Source organism: Homo sapiens, chromosome 1 (assembly GCF_000001405.40).
Source record: "Homo sapiens chromosome 1, GRCh38.p14 Primary Assembly".
Taxonomy (NCBI): Eukaryota; Metazoa; Chordata; class Mammalia; order Primates; family Hominidae; genus Homo; species Homo sapiens.
In genome coordinates, this window is record NC_000001.11 from 734989 (window position 1) to 749866 (window position 14878).

At 45.4% G+C, this 14878-nt stretch overlaps 1 long non-coding RNA gene across 1 annotated transcript in view; it reads right to left on the reverse strand.

The window, feature by feature from the left end:
* LOC100288069 (uncharacterized) overlaps positions 1-14878 on the reverse strand; it is a 52876-nt gene that overhangs the window by 9230 nt on the left and 28768 nt on the right. The window contains exons 10-15 of the long non-coding RNA NR_168328.1: positions 14250-14393; positions 9207-9403; positions 8298-8362; positions 5141-5198; positions 3846-4036; positions 431-625 (exon numbers count right to left, since the gene is read on the reverse strand). This is a non-coding gene — a long non-coding RNA (uncharacterized LOC100288069). The remainder of the gene's footprint in view (positions 1-430; positions 626-3845; positions 4037-5140; positions 5199-8297; positions 8363-9206; positions 9404-14249; positions 14394-14878) is intronic.

A 14878-nucleotide genomic window follows, 5' to 3' on the forward strand; every position in this document is an offset into this window, starting at 1 on the left:
AGTGCAGAGGCCTGATCATGACTCACTGCAGTCTCAGCCTCCCTGGGCTCAAGTGATCCTCCCACCTCAGCCTCCCAAGTAGCTGGGACTACAGGAACATGCCACCACACTAGGCTAATTCATGTATTTTTCTGTAGGGATGGTGACTCCCCCTTTGTTTCCAAGGCCTATCGCAAACTCTTGGCCTCAAGCCATCCTCCTGCCTCAGCCTCCCAAAGTGTTGCGATTACCAGTGTGAGCCACCACACCTGGCCAGCTGCTACTTTTATCAATATTATTCTTATTCCACTCAATTAAAAATTATTATTTTCAAGGCTATGCAACAGTATGTATCCCACAGCATAATTGTAAAAACATATAGTCGTCGTCCCTCAGTATACAGAATTAGTTCCAGCCCCCCATCTCTGCATATACCAAAATCCATGCTTACTCACGTTTCGCTGTCACCCCTCTGGAATCCACGTATACGAAAATTCCAAATGTTAGTTGGGCATAGTGGCAAGCACCTGTAGTCTCAGCCACGTGGGAGGTTGAGGTGGGAGGATCGCTTCAGCCTGGAAGGTTGAGGCTGCAGTCAGCTGCGATAGCACTACTACACTCCAGCCTTGGACAACAGAGGGAGACCCTGTCTCAGAAAAAAAAACAAAATAAAACAGGTTAGAAATTGTAATGAGGTCTGCTGGGCAAAATTCCATATAAGCAAAGTATAAATTAATAAAGCAAATCGTGATAAATTAGTACGATTGGCTTTCTGGAGTTTCTGACAATAAAAGTAAGGAAAATGCAGAACACAAAGACAGAGAGTAAAAAGAGAAATTAGGAAAGCATTCTACATGTTGAATAGGAAGACACTGGCCATGTTCGTGCAGCGGCAGTATGTCGTGACATGACATACCTTGGAGAGAAGTTAACAGATGAGGAAGTTGATAAAAATCATCAGAGAAGCAAAATACTGGTAGCGACACTCAAGTAAACCATGAAATTTCCATAACTTATGTCAGCAAAGTGGGAATATTGTACAGTGTGTGTTGAAGTTCCTATACAACATTGTTTATCTGCCTTTTGTTTGTTTGTAAGGAATGTACATACTAAAAGTTCTTCTTGCTGTCAAAAGAATATGTGTGAATAAGTCATTTTAACTTATTCTTCTGTTTTTCTTTTATCTTCCTGCCATCATCCCACAGCCTTACTTTAGAAATTTTTTTTTTAGAAAATTGAACAAGTGCTCCCTGTGGTGGCACATGCCTCGAGGATGGGAGGCAGGGGTGGAAGGGTCACTTGAGGCCATTAGTTTGACACCAGCCTGGCCAACAAAGTGAGACCCCGTGTCTACAAAACAATTTAAAAATTAGCCAAGTATCATCATGTATACCTACAGTCCCAGCTACCTGAACTTACTGAGAAAGTTCAGAGCCTGGAGAGAAGGCTGGGAGGCAGGAGCTGGGTCTAAAGAGGCCATTGTAACGATGGAGCTGTGCCTGTGGAGGCTGTTGTGAGGCAGTAGGCTCATCTGCGGAGGCTGCCGTGACGTAGGGTATGGGCCTAAATAGGCCATTGTGAGTCATGAGCTTGGTCTGTAGAGGCTGACTGGAGAAAGTTCTCGGCCTGGAGAGGCTGCCGGGAGGTAGGAGCTGGGCCAAAAGATGTAAGCACATTTGCATTTATTAGGCACTTTATTTCCATTATTACACTGTAATATATAATAAAATAATCATAGAACTCACCATAATGTAGAATCAGTGGGCGTGTTAAGCTTGTTTTCCTGCAACTGGATGTTCCCACCTGAGCGTGATGGGAGAAAGTAACAGATCAATAGGTATTAGATTCTCATAAGGACAGCGCAACCTTGATCCCTCACATGCACGGTTCACAACAGGGTGCGTTCTCCTATGAGAATCTAACGCTGCTGCTCATCTGAGAAGGTGGAGCTCAGGCGGGAATGTGAGCAAAGGGGAGTGGCTGTAAATACAGACGAAGCTTCCCTCACTCCCTCACTCGACACCGCTCACCTCCTGCTGTGTGGCTCCTTGCGGCTCCATGGCTCAGGGGTTGGGGACCCCTGCTCAAGTGCATCCAAAGCGACCCTTCCCACACCAGTCTTCACAGTGGTCAAGGGCAGCAACCACTTAGCTCCCAAGGCATGTGCCTCAGCTGGCATTTCGTCACAATCAACAGTAAGTGGTAGCTTGAGTCACTGTGAGGTCACCTACTGGAAATCACCAGCATCCCATTTCCCACTGGCAAAGAGCTCAGCACTGCCCCCTGGGAAACCAAACCTATGCCCAAATCCCATCTGTGTGGGTCTACCTCCTGGGACCCTTCCTAACATATTAGTCAGAGTCCAATCAGGAAGCATAAACCACTCAAAAGTTTAAAGTGGTAAAATTTAATACAGAGAATTATTCATTATAACAGGTGAACAGCATAATGAGAGATTGGCTAGCACAAAGTAAACAGAACTCTAGAGAATATGGGACTAGCCCAGGCCAGGCATGGTGGCTCATGCCTGAAATTCCAGTAATTTCAGAAGCTAATGCAGGAGGATTGCTTAAGGCCAGGAGCTAGAGACCGGTCTGGACGACACAGTGAGACCCTGTCTCTATCCAAAAGAAGAAAAAAGTTAGCTGGGGGTGGTGGTGCACACTTGTAGTCCCAGCTACTCGGAATGCTGAAGTTTGAGCCTGGGAGGTCAAGGCTGCAGTGAGGCATGATTATGCCACTACAGTCCAGCCTGGTGACAGAGCAAGATCCTGTCTCAAAGACCAAAACAGCAACAACCATTTACAGACAGAAAAGAAATAGAGCTAATAAGCTGAGGAAAGATGTTGAAATGTGACAAGTAAAGTAATATGAGTTCTTTTGTCTATGTAAAATAATCAAACAAAAAATGACTTACTAAATTATAATACCCTGTGCTGGCAAAGGTGCAGTGAAATGGGCACTTTCTTATACTATGAGGGGTGGTTAAATTGTGTATAAGCCTTCCAGGGTAAAGCCTGTCAATTTTTTAAAATAATGGAGACAGGGTCTCACCATACTGCCATACTGCCTCCTCCAACTCTTGGCCTCAAGCAATCCTCCTCTCTTAGCCTCCCAAAGTGCTAAGATTATAGCTGGGAGGCACCCAAAACCCTGTCAATTTACATCAAGGGTAAGGAGAATGTCCATTCACCATGACTCACAGTAATCTTACTTCTGGGGAGACAATTCAGTCTAAACAAAAGGTCATCTGTACACACACAGTAAAAATCTGGGAGTAACTGAAGACAGAGTTGGTAAGTGAAATAAGAAACAGTTATAAGAAATTAAACTATGGTATCAATAGGCACCTGGTACAAAAGGTCAGTTGATGTTGGCTGCTACTTTTTTGTTGTTTTGAGACAGGGTCTCACTCTGTCACCCAGGCTGGAGTGCAGAGGCCTGATCATGACTCACTGCAGTCTCAGCCTCCCTGGGCTCAAGTGATCCTCCCACCTCAGCCTCCCAAGTAGCTGGGACTACAGGAACATGCCACCACACTAGGCTAATTCATGTATTTTTCTGTAGGGATGGTGACTCCCCCTTTGTTTCCAAGGCCTATCGCAAACTCTTGGCCTCGAGCCATCCTCCTGCCTCAGCCTCCCAAAGTGTTGTGATTACCAGTGTGAGCCACCACACCTGGCCAGCTGCTACTTTTATCAATATTATTCTTATTCCACTCAATTAAAAATTATTATTTTCAAGGCTATGCAACAGTATGTATCCTACAGCGTAATTGTAAAAACATATACAGTCGTCGTCCCTCAGTATACAGAATTAGTTCCAGCCCCCCATCTCTGCATATACCAAAATCCATGCTTACTCACGTTTTGCTGTCACCCCTCTGGAATCCACGTATACGAAAATTCCAAATATTAGTTGGGCATAGTGGCAAGCACCTGTAGTCTCAGCCACGTGGGAGGTTGAGGTGGGAGGATCGCTTCAGCCTGGAAGGTTGAGGCTGCAGTCAGCTGCGATAGCACTACTACACTCCAGCCTTGGACAACAGAGGGAGACCCTGTCTCAGAAAAAAAAAAATAAATAAATAAAACAGGTTAGAAACTGTGATGAGGTCTGCTGGGCAAAATTCCATATAAGCAAAGTATAAATTAATAAAGCAAATCGTGATAAATTAGTACGATTGGCTTTCTGGAGTTTCTGACAATAAAAGTAAGGAAAATGCAGAACACAAAGACAGAGAGTAAAAAGAGAAATTAGGAAAGCATTCTACATGTTGAATAGGAAGACACTGGCCATGTTCGTGCAGCGGCAGTATGTCGTGACATGACATACCTTGGAGAGAAGTTAACAGATGAGGAAGTTGATAAAAATCATCAGAGAAGCAAAATACTGGTAGCGACACTCAAGTAAACCATGAAATTTCCATAACTTATGTCAGCAAAGTGGGAATATTGTACAGTGTGTGTTGAAGTTCCTATACAACATTGTTTATCTGCCTTTTGTTTGTTTGTAAGGAATGTATATACTAAAAGTTCTTCTTGCTGTCAAAAGAATATGCGTGAATAAGTCATTTTAACTTATTCTTCTGTTTTTCTTTTATCTTCCTGCCATCATCCCACAGCCTTACTTTAGAAATTTTTTTTTTAGAAAATTGAACAAGTGCTCCTTGTGGTGGCACATGCCTCGAGGATGGGAGGCAGGGGTGGAAGGGTCACTTGAGGCCATTAGTTTGACACCAGCCTGGCCAACAAAGTGAGACCCCGTGTCTACAAAACAATTTAAAAATTAGCCAAGTATCGTCATGTATACCTACAGTCCCAGCTACCTGAACTTACTGAGAATGTTCAGGGCCTGGAGAGAAGGCTGGGAGGCAGGAGCTGGGTCTAAAGAGGCCATTGTAACGATGGAGCTGTGCCTGTGGAGGCTGTTGTGAGGCAGTAGCCTCATCTGCGGAGGCTGCCGTGACGTAGGGTATGGGCCTAAATAGGCCATTGTGAGTCATGAGCTTGGTCTGTAGAGGCTGACTGGAGAAAGTTCTGGGCCTGGAGAGGCTGCCGGGAGGTAGGAGCTGGGCCAAAAGATGTAAGCACATTTGCATTTATTAGGCACTTTATTTCCATTATTACACTGTGATATATAATAAAATAATTATAGAACTCACCATAATGTAGAATCAGTGGGCGTGTTAAGCTTGTTTTCCTGCAACTGGATGTTCCCACCTGAGCGTGATGGGAGAAAGTGACAGATCAATAGGTATTAGACTCTCATAAGGACAGCGCAACCTAGATCCCTCACATGCACGGTTCACAACAGGGTGCGTTCTCCTATGAGAATCTAACGCTGCTGCTCATCTGAGAAGGTGGAGCTCAGGTGGGAATGTGAGCAAAGGGGAGTGGCTGTAAATACAGACGAAGCTTCCCTCACTCCCTCACTCGACACCGCTCACCTCCTGCTGTGTGGCTCCTTGCGGCTCCATGGCTCAGGGGTTGGGGACCCCTGCTCAAGTGCATCCAAAACGACCCTTCCCACACCAGTCTTCACAGTGGTCAAGGGCAGCAACCACTTAGCTCCCAAGGCATGTGCCTCAGCTGGCATTTCGTCACAATCAACAGTAAGTGGTAGCTTGAGTCACTGTGAGGTCACCTACTGGAAATCACCAGCATCCCATTTCCCACTGGCAAAGAGCTCAGCACTGCCCCCTGGGAAACCAAACCTATGCCCAAATCCCATCTGTGTGGGTCTACCTCCTGGGACCCTTCCTAACATATAACCTTCATAACAAACTTGAGAGGCTGAGGTGAGACAATCGATTTAGCCCAGGAGTTTGAGATCAGCCTGGACGACGTAACTAAATCTCATCTCTACAAGGAAGAGGTGGGAGGATCACTTGAGCCCAGGAATTTGTGGCCAGCCTGGGCAACAAAAGAAGACCCCATCTGGCCAACATGGCCAACCTGGCCACCACGGTGAAACTCTGACTCTACAAAAATGATCTGGGCATGGGTGACATGCATGTGTAGTCCTAGCTACTTGGGAGGTTGAGATGGGAGGATTGCTTGATCTCAGAAGGCCAAAGCTATAGTGAGCTATGATCACATCACTGCACTCCAGCCTGGATGGCACAGGGAGATTCTGTCTCAAAAAAAAGAAAAGAAATATATATTTAATCTCTGTCCCTGGTTCCTGGCACAGAGCTTCTAAAGCTCTTACAAAGACCTCAGTGATAGATGTGACAGGAGCATCTTTTGTTTTAATATTTGATCTTGGTCCCAGGTTTCTAACACAAGAGCCTCTAAGAACTTTGGGATCTCCAGCATGGTAAGAATGCATTTGGGGATGTTGTTGAGATGACTGGGTGACTGCAAGCTCCTAAATTTCTTCAAGAGGAGGGCTGATTACCATGCAACCACATGGTAAGAGGCTTGGAACTTTCAGCCTCATGCACTGAACTCCAGGGGGAAGAGGGGCTGGAGACTGACTTAATCACCAACAGCCAAAGGTTTTATCAATCATGCTTGCATAATAAAGCCTCCATAAACACCCTGAAAGGGGTTTGCAGAGCTTTCAGGGTTGCTGGACACAGGAGATGCTGGGAGGGTCGCATGTTCAACAGAGGGCATGGGAGCTCTGTGCCCCTCCGAACTTAACTTGCCCTGGGTATCTTTCTTTTTTTTGAGACAGGATCAGGCTCTTTTGTCCAAGCTGGAGTGCAGTGGCACAATCTCAGCTTACTGTAACCTAAGCCTCCCCAGTCCCCAGCTCAAGGTATCCTCTCATCTCAGCTTCCCTAGTAGTTGGAACTCTAGGTGCACAACACCACACCAGTTATTATTATTATTTTTTAATTTTTTATAGAGACAGGTTTTCACCATGTTGCCCAGGCTGGTCTCAAACTCCTGAGTTTAAGCGATCCTCCCACCTTGGCCTCCCAAAGTGCTGAGATTACAGGCATGAGCCACTGCATCCAGCATGCACGTCTCTTTCATTGACTGTTTCTGAGATGTATCCTTCACAATGAACCAGTAATAGGAAATGAACTGGCCAGATGTGGTGGCTCACATCTGTAATCCCAGCACTTTCAGAGGCTGAGGTGGGAGGATCACTTGAGACCAGGAATTTGTGGCCAGCCTGGCCAACACAACAAGACCCCATCTATACAAAAAATAAAAGAAACTAGCCAGATGTGGTGGTGCAGGCATGTAGTCTCAGCTACTAGGGAGGCTGAGGTGGGAGAACCACTGGAACCCAGACAATCAAGGCTGCAATGAGCTATGACTGCACCATTGCACACCAGCCTGGGCAACAAAATAAGACCCTCTCTCTCAGAAAAAAAGAAAATAAACTGTTTTTCTGAGTTCCGTAAACTGTTCTAGCAAATTATTAAACCCAAGAAGACAGTTACGGGAACCCCCGATTGGTAACAGGTTGGTCAAAAGTATGGTGACAACTTAGGACTTGCCATTGTCATCTGAAGTGAGGATGGCCTCGTGGGACTGAGCCCCTAACTTGTGGGGTCTGTGCTAACTCCAGGTAGTGTCAGAATAAAGTCATGGGATACCCAGTTAATATCCAGAGCACTGAAGAATCTGGTGTAGAAACTCCATACATACATTCAGTCGGAAGTGTGTGAGTAGAGACAAACATGGGCTTTTCTGTCACCTACCTGCTTAACTGCATAGGAGAGGCAATATGTGGTGCTCATGAACAAAGCAAACATTAAAGTCAGACCAGACCCAACATTTGACTCAGTCTTAATATCCAGGTGAGCCTGCGCAAATCATTCATTATTCCTAAGGTTTTCATCACTCCATTCATAAAATGGGGATAACTGTGGCACCTATATGTGATTCTGTGAGAATTAACGAAATATTATGCTTGGGGTTATTGTGATCATTATACCTGTTCCAAACTATTTGACAAGGACAGTGATGGATGAAGACATCAAAAAATCAGAAACTGCAATGAGGTCTCTCAGGCAAAATTCCATACAAGCAAATTACTGTGTCTACAAAGCATTCCTGCCACACTTAATTCACCATTCCCTGAACAAAATATGCCATCTTCGTTGTTCAGGTCTGTACAGTGCTGGTTTCCCTTCCCGGGCAGTTTGCGCTATCCCATCCCGGCCCATTCCCCATCCCTCCACCTCCCCCTTCCCTCCCCACTCTCATACAACTCTTCCTCATCTTTCAGGACTTGGCTTCAATGTCACCTTAACTGGAAGCTTCTCTCACTCTCCAGAAGAGCTTCCCATTGCACCTGATGCATGGGAAACATAATTTGATCATTTTTAAGTTACAGTCCAAATCTTTTTGTACCTGAATAACATGTTGCCCAGTCAGTCTCTCTTCCTGGATTCACAAGTCTTTCATGGTAGATCCAGCTGGAAGTGACAAAAAGACATCTTTTGACATAAAGGGATGACACAGACAGACATAAGTTCTTAAATGTCTTAAATGTCATGTGAAAATTAAACAGAATTCAAAGACTTGTGGGGAGCACTTAGGAAGTTACTGGGAATGTCATGAAGGGTTAATTTGTATTTTATTTTATTTTTTGAGACAGTCTCATTCTGTCACCTAGGCTGGAGTGCAGTGGTGCAATCAGGCTCACTGCAGCCTTGACCACCTGGGCTCAAGTAATCTCACTTAATTTTTATTTGGTTTAAGAAAGTCTTGGTTGAGGGTGGTGGCTTATGCCTGTAATCTCAGCACTTTGGGAGGCTGAGAGAGGTATATTACTTGAGGCCAGGAGTTTGAGATCAGACTGGGCAATATATTAAGACCCTGCCTCTACCAAAAAACAGAGTGAATGTGTGGAAGACAATTTTTCCACAGACTGGGAATGAGGGAATAATTTCAGGATGATTCAAGTGCATTACATATATTGTGCACTTTATTTCTATTATTACTACATAGTAATATATAATGAAATGATTCTACAACTCACTATAACGTAGACTCAGTGGGATCTCTGAGCTTGTTTTCCTGCAACTAGACTGTCCACCTGGGGTGATGGGAGACAGTAACAGAATATCAGGCATTAGATTCTCATAAGGAGTACACAACCTAGATCCCTCGCATGCACACTTCACAACAGAGTTTGTGCTCCTATGACAACCTAATGCTGCTGCTGATCTGACAGGACATGGAGCTCAGGTGGTCGTGCAAGCGATGGGAGGGGCTAGAAATACAGATGAAGTTTCCCTTCACTCGCCTGCTGCTCACCTCCAGCTCTGTGGCCCTGTGGTTGGAGACCGCTGCTCAAGTGCATTTGAAAGGAACCATCCCACGCCATTCTTCAGAGTCATCTTTACTGCTGCAGTGGTCAACTTGTAGCACCCCCAAGCTCGCAGGACATATGCTTCAACTGGCATTTCACAATCAACAGTATGTGGCAGCTTGAGTCATTGTGAGCTCACTTCCTGGAAATCACCAGCATCCCATATCCCATTGCAAGGAGCTCAGCACTGCTCCTTGGATAACCAAACCTATTCCCAAATCCCATCTGTGTGCGTCTATCTCCTGGTACCCTTCCTAGCATCAATTCTGTATTTGTAGGAGTCCAATCAGGAGACACAAACCACTCAAAAGTTTAAACTAGAATGAGCAAGATGGCTCACACCTGTAATCCCAGAACTCTGGGAGGCCAAGGTGGGTGGACTGCTTTGAGCTCAGGAGTTTGAGAACAGTCTGGGAAACATGGTGAAACCTCGTCTCTACAAAAAACACAAAAATCAGCTGGGTGTGGTGGCACTTACCTGTAATCCCAGCTACTCGGGAGGCTGAGGCAGGAGAATTGCTTGAGCCTGGCAGGTGGAGGCTGCAGTGAGCAGAGGTTGTGCCACTGTACTCCAGCCTGGGTGACAGTGTGAGACCCGGTATCAAAAAGAAAAAACGTATATATATATATATATGTAAATTTAATATAAAAAGTATTAATTTTGGCCAGGCAAAATGGCTCATGCCTGTAATCCCAGCACTTTGGGAGGCCAAGGCAGACAGATCACCTGAGGTCAGGAGTTCGAAACCAGCCTGACCAGCACAGAGAAACCCCATCTCTACTAAAAATACAAAATTAGCTGGGCATGGTGGCACATGCCTGTAATCCCAACTACTCGGGAGGCTGAGGCAGGAGAATTGCTTGAACCCAGAAGGTGGAGGTTGCGCTGAGCCGAGATAGCACCATTGCACTCCAGCCTGGGCAACAAGAGTGAAACTCCATCTCAAAAAAAAAAAAAAAGGTATTAATTTTTACAGAGGATCAGCACAATGAGGGACACACTAGCACAAAGTAAAGACAACTCTAGAGAATACGGAACTAGCAGAGGCCAGGCATTGTGGCTCATGCCTGTAATCCCAGCAATTTGGGAAGCCTAGGCAGGAGGATCGCTTGAGGCCAGGAGTTGGAGACCAATCAGTGCTAAATAGTGAGACTCTGTGTCTACCAAAAAAAAGAGACATTAGCCAGGTGTGGTGGTGGTGCACACCCGTAGTTCCAGCTACTTGGGAGTCTGGGGTGGGAGAAATCCCTTGAGCCTGGGAAGTCTACACTACAGTGAGCCAAGATTGTGCCACTGCACTCCAGCCTGGGCGACAGAGTGAGACCCTGTCTTAGAAAGAAAAAAGAAAAGAAAGTGTTAATCCCCCTATGGGAATCTCCTCTTCTCCTGCCCTCTCTGGAACCTCACTTGTCAGTTCTTCCTCCCACTTTCCTGTATCTTTAACCTATCCCCCACTTTTAGCTCCTTCCCATCATCATTTAAATTACTCAAACTTCTTCTGTTTTAAAAACCTCTCCCTAAACTCAGGGAGAGGTCTTCTGCACACACATTGAGCCATCTGCTCTTCCTGGTGCCTTCTCTACAGCAGCCTGAGCCATGTCTCTAATCTATGAATCTCATCATGTTACTCCCCCATTTACATCACTTCTCCTTGCCTCAGGGATTAAGTCCAAACTCCTTAACAGCCCCTGCTCTGCCCTGCCTTGCAAGGCAGCCTCACTGCTTGCCCCTCTCCATTTCATCTGCTATGGAGTCCAACTGAGCCTCATCTGCCCCTTGAACGCACACTCTTTCTCCTCTGGGAGTCTCTGAAGTGGGTAATATCCTCTGCTTATAATATGCTTCCCCTTAAACCTCTACTCTCTTCCTAGCTAGCTTTGACTCCTCTGTCACTTGTCCGCTTTGGCATCACCTCCTCATAGAAGACTTCTATGACTCCCGAGATTCTCAGGAGCATGGCAGGTGAAGTGCTCCTCCCATGAATGGATGGAGATTAGGGAGTGTGTGTTATTCATGCTTAATTCACCAGTGCTTAGCTGAGTACCTGGCATAAAATAGTTACTGTGGTGGCCAAAGTAATAACCCCCACCGCCACCAATTGCTCATGTCCTATGTTACACAGCACAATTACATAGGAAGGGGGAATTAAGAGTGCAGATAAAATTAATGTTGCTCATCAGCTGACCTTAAAACAAGATTATCCTGGAGTATCTAGGAGAGCCCATGTAATTACAAGCATTCTTTAAAACTGGAAGAGGGAGGCAGAAGGTTAAGAACCAGAGACGGTGGGCACAATGGCTCATGCCTGTAATACCAATACTTTGGGAGGCCAGGGTAGGAAAATCCCTTGAGTGCAGGAGTTCAAGGTCAGCCATGGCAACATACTGAGGTCCCATCTCTACAACAAAATAAAAACAAAATTCACTGAGTGTCACGATGCTTACCTGTAGTCCCAGCTACTGGGAAGGCTGACATGGTAGGATTGCTTGAGCCTGGGAGTTTGAGGCTATAATGAGCCATGATAGGACCACTGAACTCCATCCTGAGTGACAGGGCAAGGTCCTGTTTCTGAAGAAAAAAAGGACATTGGAATCAGGACCCTCTCCATCCTGAGGTGCCTACAAGGCATCTCTCTCTGCAAACGAGTAAACATCACCCTCCAACTCCTTACAGAGTGGAGCAACAGGAAAACTCCTTCACCTCATTTCTGTGCTGCTTGGGAGGCCTGGACAGCCCAATAACCAGCTCCTCGCTGATGAAGCAATCAGGAAATGGCTCGAGTTGAGCTAAGGAGAATTTGGATCCTTCCTTTGGTTCTCAGTAGGCAGGGTAGGGGGCCAGGCATGGTGGCTCATACCTGTAATCCTTGCACTGTGGGGGGCCAAGGTGAGAGGATTGCTTGAGGCCAGGAGCTCAAGACCAGCCTGGACAACATAGCAAGACCTGGGTGGCATACACCTGTGGTCCCTACTACTTGGTAGGATGAGGTGGGAGGATTGATCACTTGATCCCAGGAGTTTCAGGCTGCAGTGAGCCATGATCACACCACTGCACTTCAGCCTGGGTGACAGAGCCAGACCATGTCACAAAAAGTTAGAAAAAAAAAAGAGGGAGAGAGACTATACACAGGCACCACCACATTTGGCTAATTTTTAAATATTCTGTAGAGACAAGGTCTTGCTAGGTTGCCCAGGCTAGTCTAAAACTCCTGGCATCAGGCTGGGCATGGTGGCTCATGCTTGTAATCGCAGCACTTTGGGAAGCTAAGGCAGGCAAATCACCTGAAGTCTGGAGTTCGAGACCAGCCTGGCCAACACGGTGAAACTCTGACTCTATCAAAAATACAAAAATTAGCTGGGCAGTAGTGGCGTGTACCTGTAGTCTCACCTACTCGGGAGGCTGAGGCAGGAGAATCACTTGAACCTGGGAGGTGGAGGTTGCAGTGGACCCCATCACTGCACTCCACCCTGGGTGACAGAGCGAGACTGTCAAAAACAACAACAACAATAACAAAAACAAAAACAACAACAACAAAAAAAACTCCTGGCATCAAGACATCTTCCTGTCTTAGCCTCCCAAAGCCCTGGGATTATACTGTTTCCTATAATTGAAGACACTTGTTCTTATACTGCTTTAAGGTATAAAGGAAGAAAAAAAAAACAGATAATGGCAAATGTTGGTGAAGGCCGGGCATGGTGGCAGCCTGTAATTCCAGAACTTAGGGAGGCTGAGGTGGGCAGATCACTTGAGGCCAGGAGTATGAGACCAGCCTGGGCAACATGGTAAAATCCCACCACTACAGAAAAATCTAAAAATTAGCCAGGCATGGTGGCGTACACCTGTAATTTTCAGCTACCCAGGAGGCTGAGATGAGAGAATCACTTGTGCCTGGGAGGTCACGGCTGCAGTGAACTGTGATGGCATCATTGCACTGCGGCCTGAGAGACAGAGCAAGCCCCTATCTAGAAAAAAAAAATGTCAGTGAAGATGTGGAGGAATTGGAACCCACATACATTACTGGTGGGAACATAAAATTGTGTAACCATTTTGTTTGGGTATTTCTTTTCTTGTCATTTTAATTGGATTTTTAAAAAATCAAGACGGGGTTTCACTATCTTGCCCAGGCTGGTCTTGAATTCACGGGCTCAAGCCATCCTCCTAGCTGAGCCTCCTGAGTAGCTGGGATTACAGGTGTGAGCCATTGCACCCAACTGGTATAGCCACGTTAGAAAACAGTCTGGCAGTTTCTCAAAAGGCTAAATGTACAGTCATCCTATAATGCAACAATTTCACTCCTAGGCATATATCCCAGAAAAATAAAAATATATGTCCACACAAAAACTTGTACAACAATCTTCATAGCAGCATTATTCATAATGACCAATACATGGAATACATGGAAACAACCCAAATATCCACCAACTGATGAACAGATAAACAAAATGCAGTGTGTCTCTACCATGGAATACTGCCATAGAAGGAATGAAATATTGATACACACTATGACATAAAGGAACTTTGAAAACACTGTGCTAAGAGGGAAGAAAAGCCACAAAAGATCACATATTGTACAATTCTATTTGTCCAGATTAGGCAAATCTATAGTGACAAAAAAATTAATCAATGGTTGCCTAAGGCTGGGGGCAAAGGTAGGTGGGGAGAGTAGGAGGTAGTGGCTAAGGGGTATGGATTTCTCTATAGGGTAATGAAAGGTTCTAAAAGTGACTGTGGTGATCGATGCACAGCTCTGTGAATATTCTAAAACCTACTGAATTGCAGATTTCAATAAATAAAGTGAATGGTATGTGAATATTTTAATAAAGCTATTATTTAAAATAATAATAATAGGGGGCTGGGCACAGGTGGTCATGCCTGCCTGTAATCCCAGCACTTTGGGAGGCTGAGGCAGGAGGATCACTTGAGGTCAGGAGTTTTGAGCCCAGTCGGAGCAACATGGCAAGATCTCGTCTCTATGATAAAAAATTACCTGGACATGGTGGCACATGTCTGTAGTCCCAGCTACTTGGGAGACTGAAGTGAGAGAACCACTTGAGCCCAGGAGTTTGAGGCTACAGTGAACCATGATCATGTCACTGTACTGTAGCCTAAGCAACAGAGCAAGATGCCATCTCTGAAAAGGAAAGAAAACAAATGCAAGTTTTTATCACTTTGTGAGTGTAGCCAAGTTGGAGGAGAAATAGACAATAATAAAAGAGCACTGAATAATGACGGTGAGTGGCTGGTTAGGCTCAGTTGCTAGCTAAATGGCTTCTAAAAAATTCAATAAAGTTACAGCTCTGGGGACAGTCATGTAGTCAAAGAATGAAGGCGAAATTCATTACAATTGCCCATGGTCTTTATTTACATGCCTTCTAGTGAAAAATTCCTAAGTGCCTAAACAGCAAGTCTGCAATGATAGCAGCTGTTTATTAAAGACTACAAAAAAGAAATGGAGGCCGGGCGTGGTTGTTCACATCTGTACTCCTTGAATTTTGGGAGGCTGAGGCAGGCAGATTGCCTGAGGTCAGGAGCTCCAGAGGAGCCTGGCCAACATGGTGAAATCCCATCTCTACTAAAAATACAAAAATTAGCTGGGTATGGTGGCGGGCACCTGTA